At 41.2% G+C, this 14,800-nt stretch overlaps 1 long non-coding RNA gene across 16 annotated transcripts in view; it reads left to right on the top strand.

Moving 5' to 3' along the window:
• Positions 1–14,800, top strand: part of LINC01811 (long intergenic non-protein coding RNA 1811) — a 276,733-nt gene that overhangs the window by 111,017 nt on the left and 150,916 nt on the right. The gene's annotated exons all lie outside the window — the stretch shown is intronic.

Genomic DNA, 14,800 nt, shown 5'->3' on the forward strand with positions numbered 1-14,800 from the left:
AAATATCTTTTTTTGTTGGAATAAAATGACAAATCTCATGAATGTGTCTCCATCCAAACTTTCAGTTAAAGATATTTTTGAGAAATCAAGGGCTCAAAATATTTACCACCCATGTAGCTAATTTGAACATAATTACTTCAAGCGTTTTCCTCAAACAAAAAAAGAATATAAGAAAGTGACTTGAGGTACATGAAATAATAACAGCTGACTATGGTAGAACGTGTGAAATTAGAACACAATGAAAAGAATCAACGAGACCTCTGTGATACTGGGAAGGAAGGGTATGATGACATTGGTCATGGGTTAGTGCATGCACACAGTTCTATTCAAATATGCAGGGGGTGCATCATCTTCATTATTCTGTAACTGACCTCATGCTAATCATGCACCCTTGTCCCCTCTCCCTATCCATTGCTAGAGATGCAAAATACACTTGTCAGAGATCCTTGTCAGTCTCTGTTTAAACTATATTATTGAGGTAACTCAGTGTTTTCTAGGAATAGGCCAGCTCCTATTAACGTCCCCCTTTCTCTTTGTCTTTCCAAAGATGGTATTTAGGTATTTTGAGGGGGGTGTAGTTTACATGTCCTCATAGTGTTGGAAAAGAGACCCTCCAATGCGTTGTACTTTTCCTGGGTTCTTCCTGGCCTTTGCCACGAAACTGGGATAATCAGGCTAATTCTTGAGCTACTGGGAGATGTCTACTTGGTTATGGGTGACCTCATCTGACTTTTCAGGGTGCATGCCGTTCCCTGAAGCTGAAGTCTTATTGCAAAGTACTGGTTCTCCATAACCATTTGTTTTTACCAAGCTCAATTGGTCTACAAGTGTTCTTGGTACCTCCATATCCTCTCATCGGGACACACAAAGTTTTTGTGTCCCCTGCTTACTGCACACCAACCTCAAAGAGTCAAAGCTGCTACCTCATGCCATGTATTTAGATAACTCCCTCCATCCACGTTACACCATCACTCTCTTGCCATGTTGGACTTTGTGACATGCTGAGTGGAGGACTCCCTGCTCAAACTATGATCTAGGAAGATGCTAGCCTGATGGTCTCCAACTAGAAGATTATTACCATGCACAAACTTTCTGGGATGTCAGGCTGGAGGGAAGCCAGGGCACATATTTTTGACTGTTTTCTTCTCCATCTCTTTCTCTTCGCGCTCGGCATAAAACCAGAAAGGTTGGTACTTCTCATGTGGCAGGGATTTATTATATCCTGAATTATTCTCTTTCCTTTGGCTTGTGGCAAAATTCAGCTCCCAGCCCTTGGGGTCAAGAAATATAGAAAATGTGTCTCCTGTCAATATGACAATTGCCTTGATAGGAACTTGAAAGTCCTATTTTAAAAGGGACTGGGTATTGACTCAGGTACTGTATCTGCTATCCACTATCCACTCTCTTCTTCCCCAGTGTGATAAGTCATAAGCTACCACTAATCTAAGGGTGGCTAACGTTTTCTCAACTCTACCCAATCATATCAGGTCTCCTAGATAGACACCCAACCAGGCCATGGCAATCATCACTTTTTTTGTATAACTATTTGCTTATTGCATGGCTCCCACTGGATTCTACACTCTTTGAGAAAAATGGCTGAAAACAAATCTGTGAAGTACTCTGAGGAGAGATTTCAAGCCCATGGAGATCTGGCCTTCCTGCACCATTGCAATTTCTCTGTACAAAAGGACAGACAAGTCGGGAGGTGGGAACCACTTGTACATGTGTGCCCTATGGTAAGGCATAGGCTGAGGGAGGAGATAGGGCCTACTTTATCCTCCTTTGCCAGTATTTGTAAAGCTGTTTTCAAAATAGTGTCTCACTAGCAATGGGGGTGAAGGAGCCCATATGTGTGGTGCCCATATCCTGGCTCTGCCATGTTGGTACCATCAGAATACTCAGTTTTCCAAAGAGCCACGTGAGGTAGCAGGGCAGTGCTCCTGTGACCACTTTAGTGTTGAAACAATAAAAATAGCAGAGCTGGAATTAAATCTGTTTTAGTGATTTCTATTCAGTTCTCCTTCCACTCTGAGTATTGAGTCTCTGATAGTATCTATTCATTTATAAAATGAATACTTTAGCTGGAGGATCTGTCATCAACTTGGTTTGCTTATCCATGTAGTGGGGATAATAATAACTGCCTGTCTAGAATTTTGTGAGGATTATGTTAAGGTAAATCTCTCAACACAGGACAGAGAGTAGACCCATGATATTTGTCCATTTCTTTGCTGTAAATCAATTCCTCTCCATTGTCAATTGCAGTTATAATAAAGAAGCAATTGCCTTCTGAAGCCCAATATTATGATGTTTCTGCAACAATAACAAATGCAGATTCCAGGTGTCAAATTTAAAGATTGCTCAGCTACCCTAATTAGAATAAGAGCCATTCAGCTTCATCCTTCTTGCTGAGTAAAGGATGGTTGTTCGTCAAGAGGAGAAGGCACCTGAGTCAGCTAGCGTCATTCTGTTGCAGTGCTGCAGGCAGCAAAACTCCCAACTTCAACTGGTGATACAAAGAAAGGAAGTTCTGATGCATATAACTGCACAGTCTTCAGGTTCATCTTGATTCAGGGGTTAGAGTAACTAATGTTACCAGGACCACTCTTTTGTGCTGCTTCATCTGGGTTGATTCAGTTCTTAACTTCTGTACAGAGGCCCATGGACCACATCATCCTAAGGTCCAGTCCAGTTGGAAAAATGGAACGGTTTCTCTTAGCATTTCCAACAAGTCTTGAGATTCAATCTGATTGAACCAGCTTAGCTTATAGCTTCCCTACTGAAGCACTTAGTGTGTCTAGTGCATAGGCCTTGGTTACACACCCCTCTGGGAGTTGAGGATGGAGCCTCCAGGTCATGCAAATTGAAATTGATGAGGATGGATTCTGCTTCTCCGCCTACTGCCGTTCCTGCCACTGGTACCCACCAATGAGGCTCTTCCTGAAGGAAGAGGAAACCAACATTAGGACGTTTTACAAAATGGCCACAGCAACAAAAATCCCAAGGATAAAGGGTTTTCTTCTCTTAAAAATCTGTGTATTTTCAGTTGGGTTGGCTGTCTGATACCTAAGAATTATGGCAGAAAGCAAAGCCCCTCTAAAACTACTCAAATATTTAATTTCTGATAAGTGGACTGTGCTTCCCAGTCAGCATATAATGAAATTAGAGTATACAGGGCCAGAATTCAATTGGTTGACATGTATGTATCTGAGAAGGTCGTGTGTTTTAGTTAAGATACATTAGTGGTGATAACAGATAGATTCATCTAGTCTCAGGCTTAATAAGACAGAAGATTATTTTTCATAAGTGTGAAGTCCAAATGGATGATCCTCATTGGTGGGTTACTCTCCTTTAAGTAACAATTCAGGGGCCCAGTTTCCTTTCCTCTCTTGGCTCTGCTGTCTTCAACACTTCTGCCAAGATGACTGTGAAAGTGAGAAAAAGAGTTATGCTTTGGATGATTTTGTGTGGGATACATCTTCGACTCCTATTCTGTTGGGTATCACTCAGTCATATGCCAGGACAGGAGATGCTGGGGATAAACTCTACCCATGGGCCTAGGAGGAAGATCTGAGTTTGGGGAGAGGCTAAGCAGTCTCTGGTCCTGAGGTTTTATCCATCTTGTTATTTGCTCATGTCCTGTTAGGAGTGGGGGATGCTAAGATAGCGGCACTTAGATCTCTCAGAGCAAGGCTGGTTGTGAAGATGGCTTTCTTGGACAACGGCAAAGGAATGTAGAGATTTTGGATCAAAGCCTCACAGTTTTCTGTAGTCCAATCCCTGAGGAGAGGAGGAGACCAGTTTAGGGAGGGAAAAGAGGACATAAGCGGCTGTGAGTGAAGGAAGCATTTCTAAGATTAAATGCTGATGGTGGGAGGAGGACACTTAACAAGATGTCCTCCATGAATTTCATCTGATGACCCATTCGTCATTGTCCAAGGAGTCCTAGGAAACTGGGCTTCTCTTTTCAAGCAGTTGTACATCCAAAAAATAAGTCTCATTCAAAATCTTAAATTATTTACTGCAGCGGACCTAAAATTCTATCAATTATTTATAGCAAGGAAGTCCAGTAGGTCTAAACTTAAAAACTCAAATACACACTGCAGTCAATTAGTAGTGACTGCTTGGAGTACTGTGTTGGGAAGGATTCTGATACTGTATTCAGACTCAGTATGAGAGGAAACTGTAATTGATTATTGGTGTCTATAACGAGAATTGGAGGTTGAAGTAATGGCAGTAAAGCACCATGGTTTCCATTTACAGTTTTTGAAAACATGGTAAACAGAATTGTATTTGAAATATGCAACAAAGCATTCTCGTATCTTAGCCTGAATTAGTTACTTTCTTCTTCAAGATAGCTGGGGTCCTCCACTTTAAGGGGAAAGTGAGTTTTAAATTGGAGAAGTAGAAACAGGTAATTTTGGATCTGGAAGACTTTGGAAAGGGAAGCAATGAGCCTGGGAGGCACAAAGAGGTAGGGATCTCAGATGGTTCTTTTTACCCTCCCACATTGTCCCCTCTTCTCTGTATTGCTCTCTGCCCTGGGATGCTGATCTACATAAACTGTCTTAGTGGGCTCCCATGCCCTTTGGCTTCCAGTTAGGTGGGGACAATGGGTAAACCCTGTCCTGGAGAACAGGAGGAGGGAAAGGCCAGATTATTTTTTTCTGCCTTCTTCTTGCCTCCGCTCTCAAGCATCTGGATGTAGCTGTGCACTCCATGGCCATACCTCCTATTGTGTGGCCCTTCCCCAACCCAGCTCTCACTGAGCTCCAGTAACACAATTTTCATCTCTCGCCTTGACAGCCCTAGGGGTTTGTAGTGGTGTTCTGCTTTGCTAGTCTCTGAATGTTACAACACTTCTTGTTGATTTCTTTAGCCTTTCCCACACCTCTGTAAGTGGTCCCTTCATAAAGTCTCTTGATCTGCACCATCCATCTAAAATGAATCCAGGGTCTTTGGGAATCTAGATGGCGAATGAGAATTTTGGTGATTCAGGGAGATACTAAAGGGACCCTGAAGGAGGCAGAATTTGTTTAGTTTAGCCCCATACTAAGAGTCATCCTCCTTCCCTACTCTTTTCTAAAAACTGGATAAGTGACATTTCTCTTGGAAAAAAAAAATGGAACCTAGGAGTAAAAGGAGGCCTGGGAGTGTCATTTCCTCAGTATTCCAATATTTATGCCTAGCACTTTTGGATGTGAAGATGAGTGGGATAGAGTTGAGTGATATTATCTGGTCCTGGGCAAAAGGTTCTAAATATTAGTGGATTTGACTCTTAGATTTGGTCAGTTAAATTGAACCCATTGGCACCCTCAGATATGATTCCTAATCAGGGCTGTCTTTAGGGTGGATTTTATTTAAATGATTAAATTTAAATTTAAATAATTTAAACTCCCCACTTTAGAGTGAAGTGTGGGGTCCTCCGTCCATATGTATCCTGTAGATGCTGCTTCTGGAGTGTCATTTCTGGCTCAAGATGCACTTGATGCCAATTTCCATGTGGATAATAACACTGGGGACAGTCAAACCCACACAGCATAACCTGGCCCTGCTCTCATGCTCTAGATTCAGCACAAAGTCCACAGGAGGAGGACATTCTCATGGTACTGCTGCTGAAGGCCACAGGGGAGCCAACACAGGGGCCGGGACTTTACAGGGGGTAGCTGTTTTGGGAAACAGAATGTTCTTGCCCTTCTTTTTCCTCCCTCCCTCCCTCCCTCCTTTCCTTCCTCCCTCCCTCCCTCCCTCCCTCCTTTCCTTCCTTCCTTCCTTCCTTCCTTTCTTCCTTCCTTCCTTCCTTCCCGGATATCTGAACAATGCTATTTGCAGAGATGCCTGGCCCTTTTCCAGACCTTCTCTGATATTTTAGTGTATTCTTTGTTTGCCATTTAATACACAGTAAATTTATTTTCTCATCTTTTCCACAGGTTTTGAAATTTTATTTTCAAAATTTGAAATTAAACATTTTGAATAAACAGTTGAAATTATATTTTCAACATTTAACTTGGGAAGCAGGAGACCTGGTCTTAGACATTGCTGTATGACTGTGAGAAAATCAATTTTCCTCTCTGGGTTTCTGGTTTACTTCTATGCAAAATGACTGAGTATGATTTCTAGCACTCTGTCATTGATGGCATCATATGATACTTTGCTTTGAAGCTGAGGCAGAAGTGACATGTGGAGACATCTTCCCATGATTGGTGGCTGTCAACATTCATCTTGGAGAGGTTTCATGGGGGATGAAGACTCAGACTGCCCAGAAGGAGCATAGACAAATGTTCAGAAAGCAGTGACCCTCACACTGTGCTACCTGGTAACATAATCAGCTGTTGATTAATTAAGGGAAGAGAAACAGAAAACTGAAATCTACAGATAATTTTCAAGCCTCATCTTCAGCAACAATTTCAACCTCCTCTCTGATTCCATTGAATTTTTAATATTTTTTTCTTTGTTTTCTCTTAGGACCAGAGCTGCTAACAAGGAAAAAATTGACTGATTTAAATTTCATCTTCTTTAATTTTCTCAGCACAGGCTGTGGTAGGAGTGCTAATGAGCAATGGAAAGACAACAAGGGCTCATCAGAGGGGTGAAAAGAAAGGCTAAAGAGGCCAAAACCCCTGTCTAAGTGGTGAAATTATAAAGAGTGAAGGTCTGCATTTGGGTGTGCTAGGTGCTATAATATACAACTCTCAAATATCCCTGGCTTAACAAAGTATAGGTTTATCCTCATTCATGTCATAGTCCGGTGCAGGTGCCAGGATGGTAACGTACTGCTCCATGCAGTCATTCAGGAACACAGGATTCTTCTATCCTCAGATCTCCACTGGATCCTCTGGCTTGGAGACAAAGAGAGAAGGTGTGTAGAGGATTGTGAAGGTGGCCTTATGGATCCCACCTAGAGGTGGTTTATATAAATTCTGCCCACACAGAACTCAATCACATGTCTCCACCTAGCTGCAGGGTATGCCTGGAAATGTCTAGCTGCATTTCTGAGAAGAAAAGAAGAGGAGTGGGTGAAAAACAGCATTGTTTTTGCCACCAGCTCCTCTGTCTGTGCTAGGTGACCTCTCTCATGGAGCTCAAAGCTGGGACATGGGGAAAGAACTTTTCTCAGCAGCACCTGGGCTTACTCATGGCTCTTGCTTCATCTTTTCCTCTCTGAATGCGGTTAATCCCCTGCACCCAGACCACCGATGCTCCGGGTTAGGAAATGCTCTCTGATCATACCTGGCTTTCTCTAAAGGAGAGATGATGAGCCAAGTAACTATTTCCCTATAATCTAGTGTTTAAGTACTGGGCTTCAAACTCTTCAGATCTCTTTTGAATCCTTGTTCTGGGCCCAAGTTTTCCCAGTTGTAAAACAAGAATTGAAAACTTCATCTTATGAGGATGCTGTGCTTTTGAGTAGTAGTGTTTGTCATAGTATACAGGTCCAGTATTATATTAATCTATCACTTTCAGTGTACTTAGAACAGGTAGAAAACTTTAAATCTTTGCTTCCACCCCTAGTAACTCTTCAGGAGTTGTTACTTTAAAAGAAGAATGAAGTTCCTCCATGCCATCCCTTTCCTGCTGATTCGTATTGAATCCAATTATGGCCTCTTGTAGGCAAGAGTACAGGGGAGTGATCAAGATTATCCATTTCACAACTGGAGAACATTCTGATACATGAAATAAGTCAGGCACAGAAGTACAAACTTTGCATGTTCTCACTCATTTGTGGGAGCTAAAAATTGAAACAATTGAACTCATGAAGATAGAGAGTAGAATGATTTTTACCAGGGGCTGGGAAGGGTAGTGAGGAGGGGGGATAGTGACTGGATACAAAAATATAATTAGATAAAATGAATAAGAGCTAGTATTTAATAGCACTACAGGGTTATTACAGTCAACAGTAATTTATTGTACATTTAAAAATAACAGGGTATAATTGGAATGTTTGAACACAAAGAAATGATAAATGCTTGAGGTGATGGATACTCCATTTACCCTGATGTGATTGCTATGCATTGCATGCCTGTATCAAAATATCTCATACGCCCCATAAATATATACACCTACTAAGTACCAACAAAAATGAAAAATTAAAGAAAAGAACTATGGGAGAAAATCTGCCAATTACACCATGACTTATGTTTTCTTAAAAAAAAAATACTTCTTTCACCGTCTCTGTAACAAAAGCTAAGTCTGGAAAAGGGTGTCCAAGAATCTGATTTTGTCATTCTTAGAAAATTAAAGGACCACATGGGTGATTGTGGAGCTGTACTGGGAAGCAGTAGAATTACAGGAGCAATTAGGGTTGAATTAAAAAAAATTGGAGAATACCTTGTCAAAATCTTTCCTTTGTTTCCCATGGAAATAAAATAAAACTAATTCTTAATATGCTCTGCCAAAGTCTCTGTTTTAGTAGTATCTTAGGATGGCAGGTACCATGATTACAGTCCTGATTAGTGTAACAGTAAGGGCAACTGACCTTATAACACTAAAGAAATATCCCTACCTACTAGTTAGTATATGCCAGGCACTTTCAAACTCATTTATTCCTTTCATCTTGGCAGACTTGCGATTTGAACCCAGTGTCAATTGGCTACAGAGTTCAAGCTTTTCCATAACATGATGTTGGCTCTTAGAGTTGACAGAAGTTGTTGTTAAAATTTGACCAAGTTCATGGAATGATCCAACCTGCACCACATTGCTGACCCTTCCTTCCTTCCTTCCTTCCTTCCTTCCTTCTTTCCTTCCTTCCTTCCTCCTTTCTTTTTCTTTCTTTCTTCCTTTTACTTTCTCTTTCTTTCTTTTTCTTTTTTTTCCAAGGTCTCACTCCATCACCCAGGCTGGAGTATAGTGGCTTGATCTCAGTTCACTGCAACCTCTGCCTCCCAGGTTCAAGCATTCTCCTGCCTTCTGTATAGCTGGGATTACAGGTACCCGCCACCACACCCAGCTAATTTTTGTGTTTTTAGTAGAGATGGGTTTCACCATGTTGGCCAGGCTGGTCTGGAACTCCTTGACCTCAAGTGATTTGCTCACCTTGGCCTCCCAAAGTGCTGGGATTACAGGAAAGAGCCACCACGCCTGGCCCTTGTGGTGCTTTTGTTACACTGCATTGAAATTGCATAAGCCTTGTTACACTGCTTGGTAATTAGGCAAAGGTGGTAGAAGACTGTCTCCAACAGTTTTCATTAGGAATGCGCAAGATTTCAGGTCTAGTCTAATAGGTAAATTAGGCTTCTATGGGCCTAGCGCCCAAGGCGGACCAGAGACCCCTGTCTCATGGGTCATGGTAGAGCTAGATTTCCAAAGTGATACATCCAGGCCCAAGGTTCCTGAGTGAATTCACAGAAGAAAGTTCAAATCCTAGCACAGGTTTGTGTGCTGGGCAGGGATGACGGTGTGTCAGAGACAATGAATAAAATGAGATCTGGGCCTGTCATGTGGGTTCTGGCATTTTCTCTTTTGGGGAGTTATTTGATAACCAGGGCACACAGAGGGGTCTCAACCTCCCCGCCCCCCCCCCCCCCGGATCATTACCTCTATGGGAAGACCTCTACCCCATCTTGTGGTGTCCTGGGCAGGGGTAGCTGTGGTGTCTACATCCAGGGGCTTGATGTCAGGGTGGCAGCTGTGAGCTCTAAGGTAGAGGTTGGCTGAAACTGGGGCAGCCCTTCCCAAATTCTCTTTTCTAAGGGAAATGACTCATGAGTGTCTGAGTGTCCCTCACAGACTTTTTTCCTACAGGTTCCTAGAAAGTGGAGGAAGGACGAAAGCTAACTCTTGTTTGACATTTCTGTGACTCAGGAGTGCAGAAGTATAAAAAACTACTTTGTTAACCAAATGTCAAATTTAATGAACCCACTGATATCAAAAGAAAGACCTGCAATATCTTCATCTGTGTAATTAATTAGCCTGTGTCTATAAAGTGTTCCAAGCATGTGAAGTGCCACAGATATTTTGTGTTATTTATTATTATGCATGGGAAACATAACTGGATTTCTTTGACCTCTGTGCACTTAACAGCTCCTGTTTAATGGTGCATTAATTGTAGCTTTATTTTTTGATCAGCATCGATTCTCTTTTGGTGGTGATATATTGAGGCATATTTTCATGCCTTTCAAGATTTCCCTTTAGAAAATCAAGTTTTGAAAATGAGAGTGGCAGTGAGGAGTGACTGAAGGTGTCTGAAAGGGGGGGAGTGTTGACCGCATGAAAACAGGTTTTCAGAAAATGCATCTGCTAGCATCAGATTAAATTAAAAGAGGAAAAGGCTGGAAGCAGGGAAGAATCCTGCTTAGGCATGAAATAATGAAAATGTGAGCTAGGGTAGTGATTGGGAAATGGAGATTGTATGGTTGAGAGAAAAATGTATTGCTTCAGAACTGTTAATGATAATGTCCTAATGGGCCCTCTGGTGTGGCAGGGGAAAGCTGTAGGCCGCTTAACTGCCCTGTATTAAAAATGAAAAGAAATAATTCAGTATAAAGTTTTAGTTATGAACGATGAATAAATTCTAGAGATCTATTGTACAATATAGTGCCTCTGGGTAACAACATAGTATTGTGCATGTTAAACTGTCAAGAGTATAGATCTCATATTCAGAGTTTTTAACACACACACACACACACCACAAAATAAGGAAATTTTTGGAGGGGATAGCTATTTTTAGTACTTTTATTACAATAATGGGTGTAGGTATATGTCTAAATGCATCAAAACATAAATATTTAATATGTACATTATTTCGTGTATCAAGTAGACCTCAATGTATTTTTTTTTTTGAGACAGAATTTCGCTCTTGTTGCCCAGGCTGGAGTGCAATGGCACAATCTCGGCTCACTGCAACCTCTGCCTCCCAGGTTCAAGTGATTCTCCTGCCTCAGCCTCCCAAGTATCTGGGACTACAGGCACACGCCACCACGCCCAGTGAATATTTTTGTATTTTTAGTAGAGATGGGGTTTCTCCATGTTGGTCAGGCTGGTCTCGAGCTCCATACTTCAGGTGGTCCACCTGCCTTGGTCTCCCAAAGTGCTGGGATTACAGGCATGAGCCACCGCGCCCAGTCAATAAAGCTTTAAAAAAAGAAAAAATCCATTTGGAGAGCTGGAGGTAGCCTTGTTAATAGATAGATGCAAAAATAATTTGGAAAATGAAAGAGCAGCCTAACAAGATTCCAATGGGCTTGAGGAGAAAACCCCCTGTGACAGGTATGTGGGTGTTGGGCATGTAGCTGGTGTTGCTGAGGCACTGTTTAAGCTGTCTAACAACCAGGTTTGTCTGCTAGTCAGTACTTAGATGCAATGTAATACTCACCTGGTTTTACTCTGAAGAATCAGTAAAAGCGTACAATGTACACACAATGTTTTAGGAATGGTGCTTTGGAGAAGTCAAAGTGTTCACCCCTGGGTCAAAGTAGAAAGCATAGAGAGTGTGGTGAGAGTTAGGTGGAGAGCTGCTAGCCATCACGGTTCATGTGACTTTGAGAACAATAAAGATGTAAGAGAATTCAGTGAGACCTTGAGCAGGGCATGGGTTTCCCACGGCATGTCAGATGAGATCAAGACAATTTTATTTGATTTTCCAAAACAAAGTGACCTCAGCTAACGTGCAGAAAAGAAAGGACGAACCCTAGAATTGGTGATATCTTTCCAAATTGAGGATTGTATTACAGAACTTTATGTAACAAGAAAGGAGCCCACTGCCTTCCTCTCTCCAACTTTGCCCCTGTGGCTCCACTCATTATTTTTCATTTTTTTAGAGTGGTCATGCATACCTCAATGGGACAAAGTATCTCCTCTGAGACTTCAGAAAATCCTTTTCTTCTGGAGCCACTCTGTTCTGGATTACCCTGAGATTTTAATGAGATAAAGTCTAGAGATGTATATAACTTTTCTGCATCATTTTGGAATTTTAATGAGATGAAACGAGACCCAGAGACACCTGTTCTAGACCACTTTGGGATCTTAATGAGGTAAGGCTAACGGAGGATGGACTAAATTCATTTTTTCCCAAGCTGTTCAGAGACCAAATACACAGACAAGAAATGCAAACATATGGATGAAGTCTTCCAAATTGCTACTTCCTCTAACTCCTTTTCTAATCTTCATGTTGTTTCTTTTTTATTTAGAGTGTGTGTGTTGGTAGGTGTCATCAGTGGAGGGCTGGTGGTTGGAAGTTAGAGGAGTAGCTGTTTATGAATTCTAGACCTGGACAGTCTTTGTCATTAAGTTGATATGTGACCCCATGGTAAGTAACTAAGGCTCTCCTCCTCTGCTTGGTTTGGGATTCTATCTAGCCACTGTCTTGTTTATCATTAGATTGCCTTGTTTAGCTATCTGTATTGACACAATGCTAAGTCTAAGGGGTCATTTTATCTGCCATAAGCAAAGGAAAAAGGTCCTTTAAAAAATTAAAGTGATTCAAGGTCCCACACTATTGCTAGCTTGTAATACCTCTGGGAGTAAGAATGCAGTACCTGCCTGGCCTCTCATACTCATTTGTAAGATGGCTTGAGTATTGGGGTCACCTGTATTTTGGGAGAGAAATTTCTCTCCTGATGGAAGTTGCCATGCTCAACCAAGCATGCAAGCCATGTGAAGAATCCTAGAATCCTATATTTCACTCTGTGTGTTTCTTTCTCTTGTCATTCCAGGATGCAAACAGGTTGAAGACAAGAGCTCTCTTTAATGGAACCTGAACAGTGCCTAACTCCTGTAGATATTCACTGAATGTTAAATAACAACAGTGATCATGTAATAATGATGCCCAATTCACTTGGGAGAGAATACCAAATAGCTTGGAATTTTCCTGTTACTGCCAGCATGGCCTGAGAGCATCCTGAGGTGAATTTAAAAACTTCAGTGATTCAAATCACATTTACCATAAGAAATACATCTTCTAGCTTAGAGTATTGTTCAGCTGATTGCTGGCTTACTGTGTCTTCGTTCGAATCATCCAGGTCTGGAAGAAAGATATTGTGCTTTAATGATAAACAATCTCAAAAGGGAGCAAGAGGGATTCAACTGGCTCTTCTGGCCAGTGCCTTTCTCTTCATTTCCCTCATCCAGTATTTTTTCCAACTGTTTCAGTTGCTTTGAAGTAAATTATTACCATATGAGCTCAATTTAAAGAGCTGCTATAGAAAACAAGCTGCCACAAGCTATTAAGAAAATAACCCTATTGCAGTTTTGTGTGAAAAGGAAAAACAAATTAACTCCATTCAAGATACGTACATATATATTTTTTTCATTGAACCAGATTCTTTCTCAATAGCATCAATGAAAAGAAATGGCAGCTTTCTTATCCTCCCTGCTTTTCTCAATCCAGCCCTGAGTCTTATACCATAGTATCCTGGAGGAAGCTGTCAGACATCTTAGTTAAAAGCTTTCTGATGGGAACTTTAATGATTGGTCTGGAAAGAACCAGCGTTATGGGCATGAACACTGCTTTCTTCCCCCAAGATCTGCAATGCTACACAGAGCATAAACATCTTTCTCTTGGCAACTGCCTGCATATCCCTCAGGCGTCACTGGGCTTGGACATTTATTTGTTTATTCATGTATGATCTACTAAGTGCCATGTGTTTTGTGAGGTGACAGGGATATAATAAATAAGACACAATCCTGCCCTAAAATGACCTCACTGTAGAGATGAATACGTGATTATGGGTTCCCTCTTGATGAGGTAATGACAGTGACAAGACACAGGTTAGAGGGTGGGCTGTGGAATCACAGCTCAGAAGCACCCACCCAGTCTTAGTGGGGTCACAGAAGCTTTCTGGAGGAGGTAATGCCTGAATTTCCAGGACAAGTAAGAATTTGCCATTTGAAAAAGGGGCCAGGAAAGAGATTTCCATTGTTAACACATAGTCTGCTCCCTGCCTTCAAATTTAGGTAAAATTGTTTTATCTAACACATTCACACCTTGCAAATTCAAGAGAAGGGGCCTTCTAATGGCAATTTCTACTTCCCTATGTCCACCGCTAATTCTAGCATCTATCAAGTAACTACAGTGGAGTTGCTACTGACTTGGGTGTTTTTGTAACCTATTATTGATTATAATTTTACTCCCATATTTACGGATAGGAAGGCTGAGGTCACAACTGATAACTAAGAGTCTAGTCTTTTTTTCAAAATCTAAATTCTTCTTACTGTAGCATGCTGCAAATTTAAATAAAAATTCTAGATGGTTCCAGTGGAAAGAATGTTCCACCTGGCCTTTCCGCTTGCTATCATGACAAATCTATAGCAGGTTTATAGTGTTTGCCTGAAAGATAAGTATCACTGTATTTCTATTTGGACAATGCCATTTCTTGCGTTTGCTTTTTACCATTCAGTATTGTCAGACTTTGAAATGTATGTTTTATAGTACTTTTCCATTTCTTATGAAAAAATATTTCAATGTGTCTATATTATTTTTCTGTGAACACACACATACACACACGACTTGAACCCCTGAGCCACTTGCTAATGAACTTTAAGAATTCACTGGACAGGGTGTTGCCAAGTTAGCAAGATCTGAACCACTATAGTCTCTCCCTCTTATGGAGACATGACAACATATGAAAACTGGATTCGTGTCTAGGGCTTTCTTTCCTCTTATGGGTGCACCAAATTGGAAGAGTAATATTAAGAAGTTTTGAGCTGATCATTATCACTAGACTGGCCCTGAGGCAGAGACCACTGACTATGTATGAAAATACTTTTTCGTCTTCAGTACAGAGCTAGACTACATTTCCCAGCATTCCCTGCAGTTTAATATGGGCACGTGACTGAATTCTAGCCAATGGATTGAGGAGTTAATGAT

Source organism: Homo sapiens, chromosome 3, assembly GCF_000001405.40.
Source record: "Homo sapiens chromosome 3, GRCh38.p14 Primary Assembly".
Lineage (NCBI taxonomy): Eukaryota > Metazoa > Chordata > Mammalia > Primates > Hominidae > Homo > Homo sapiens.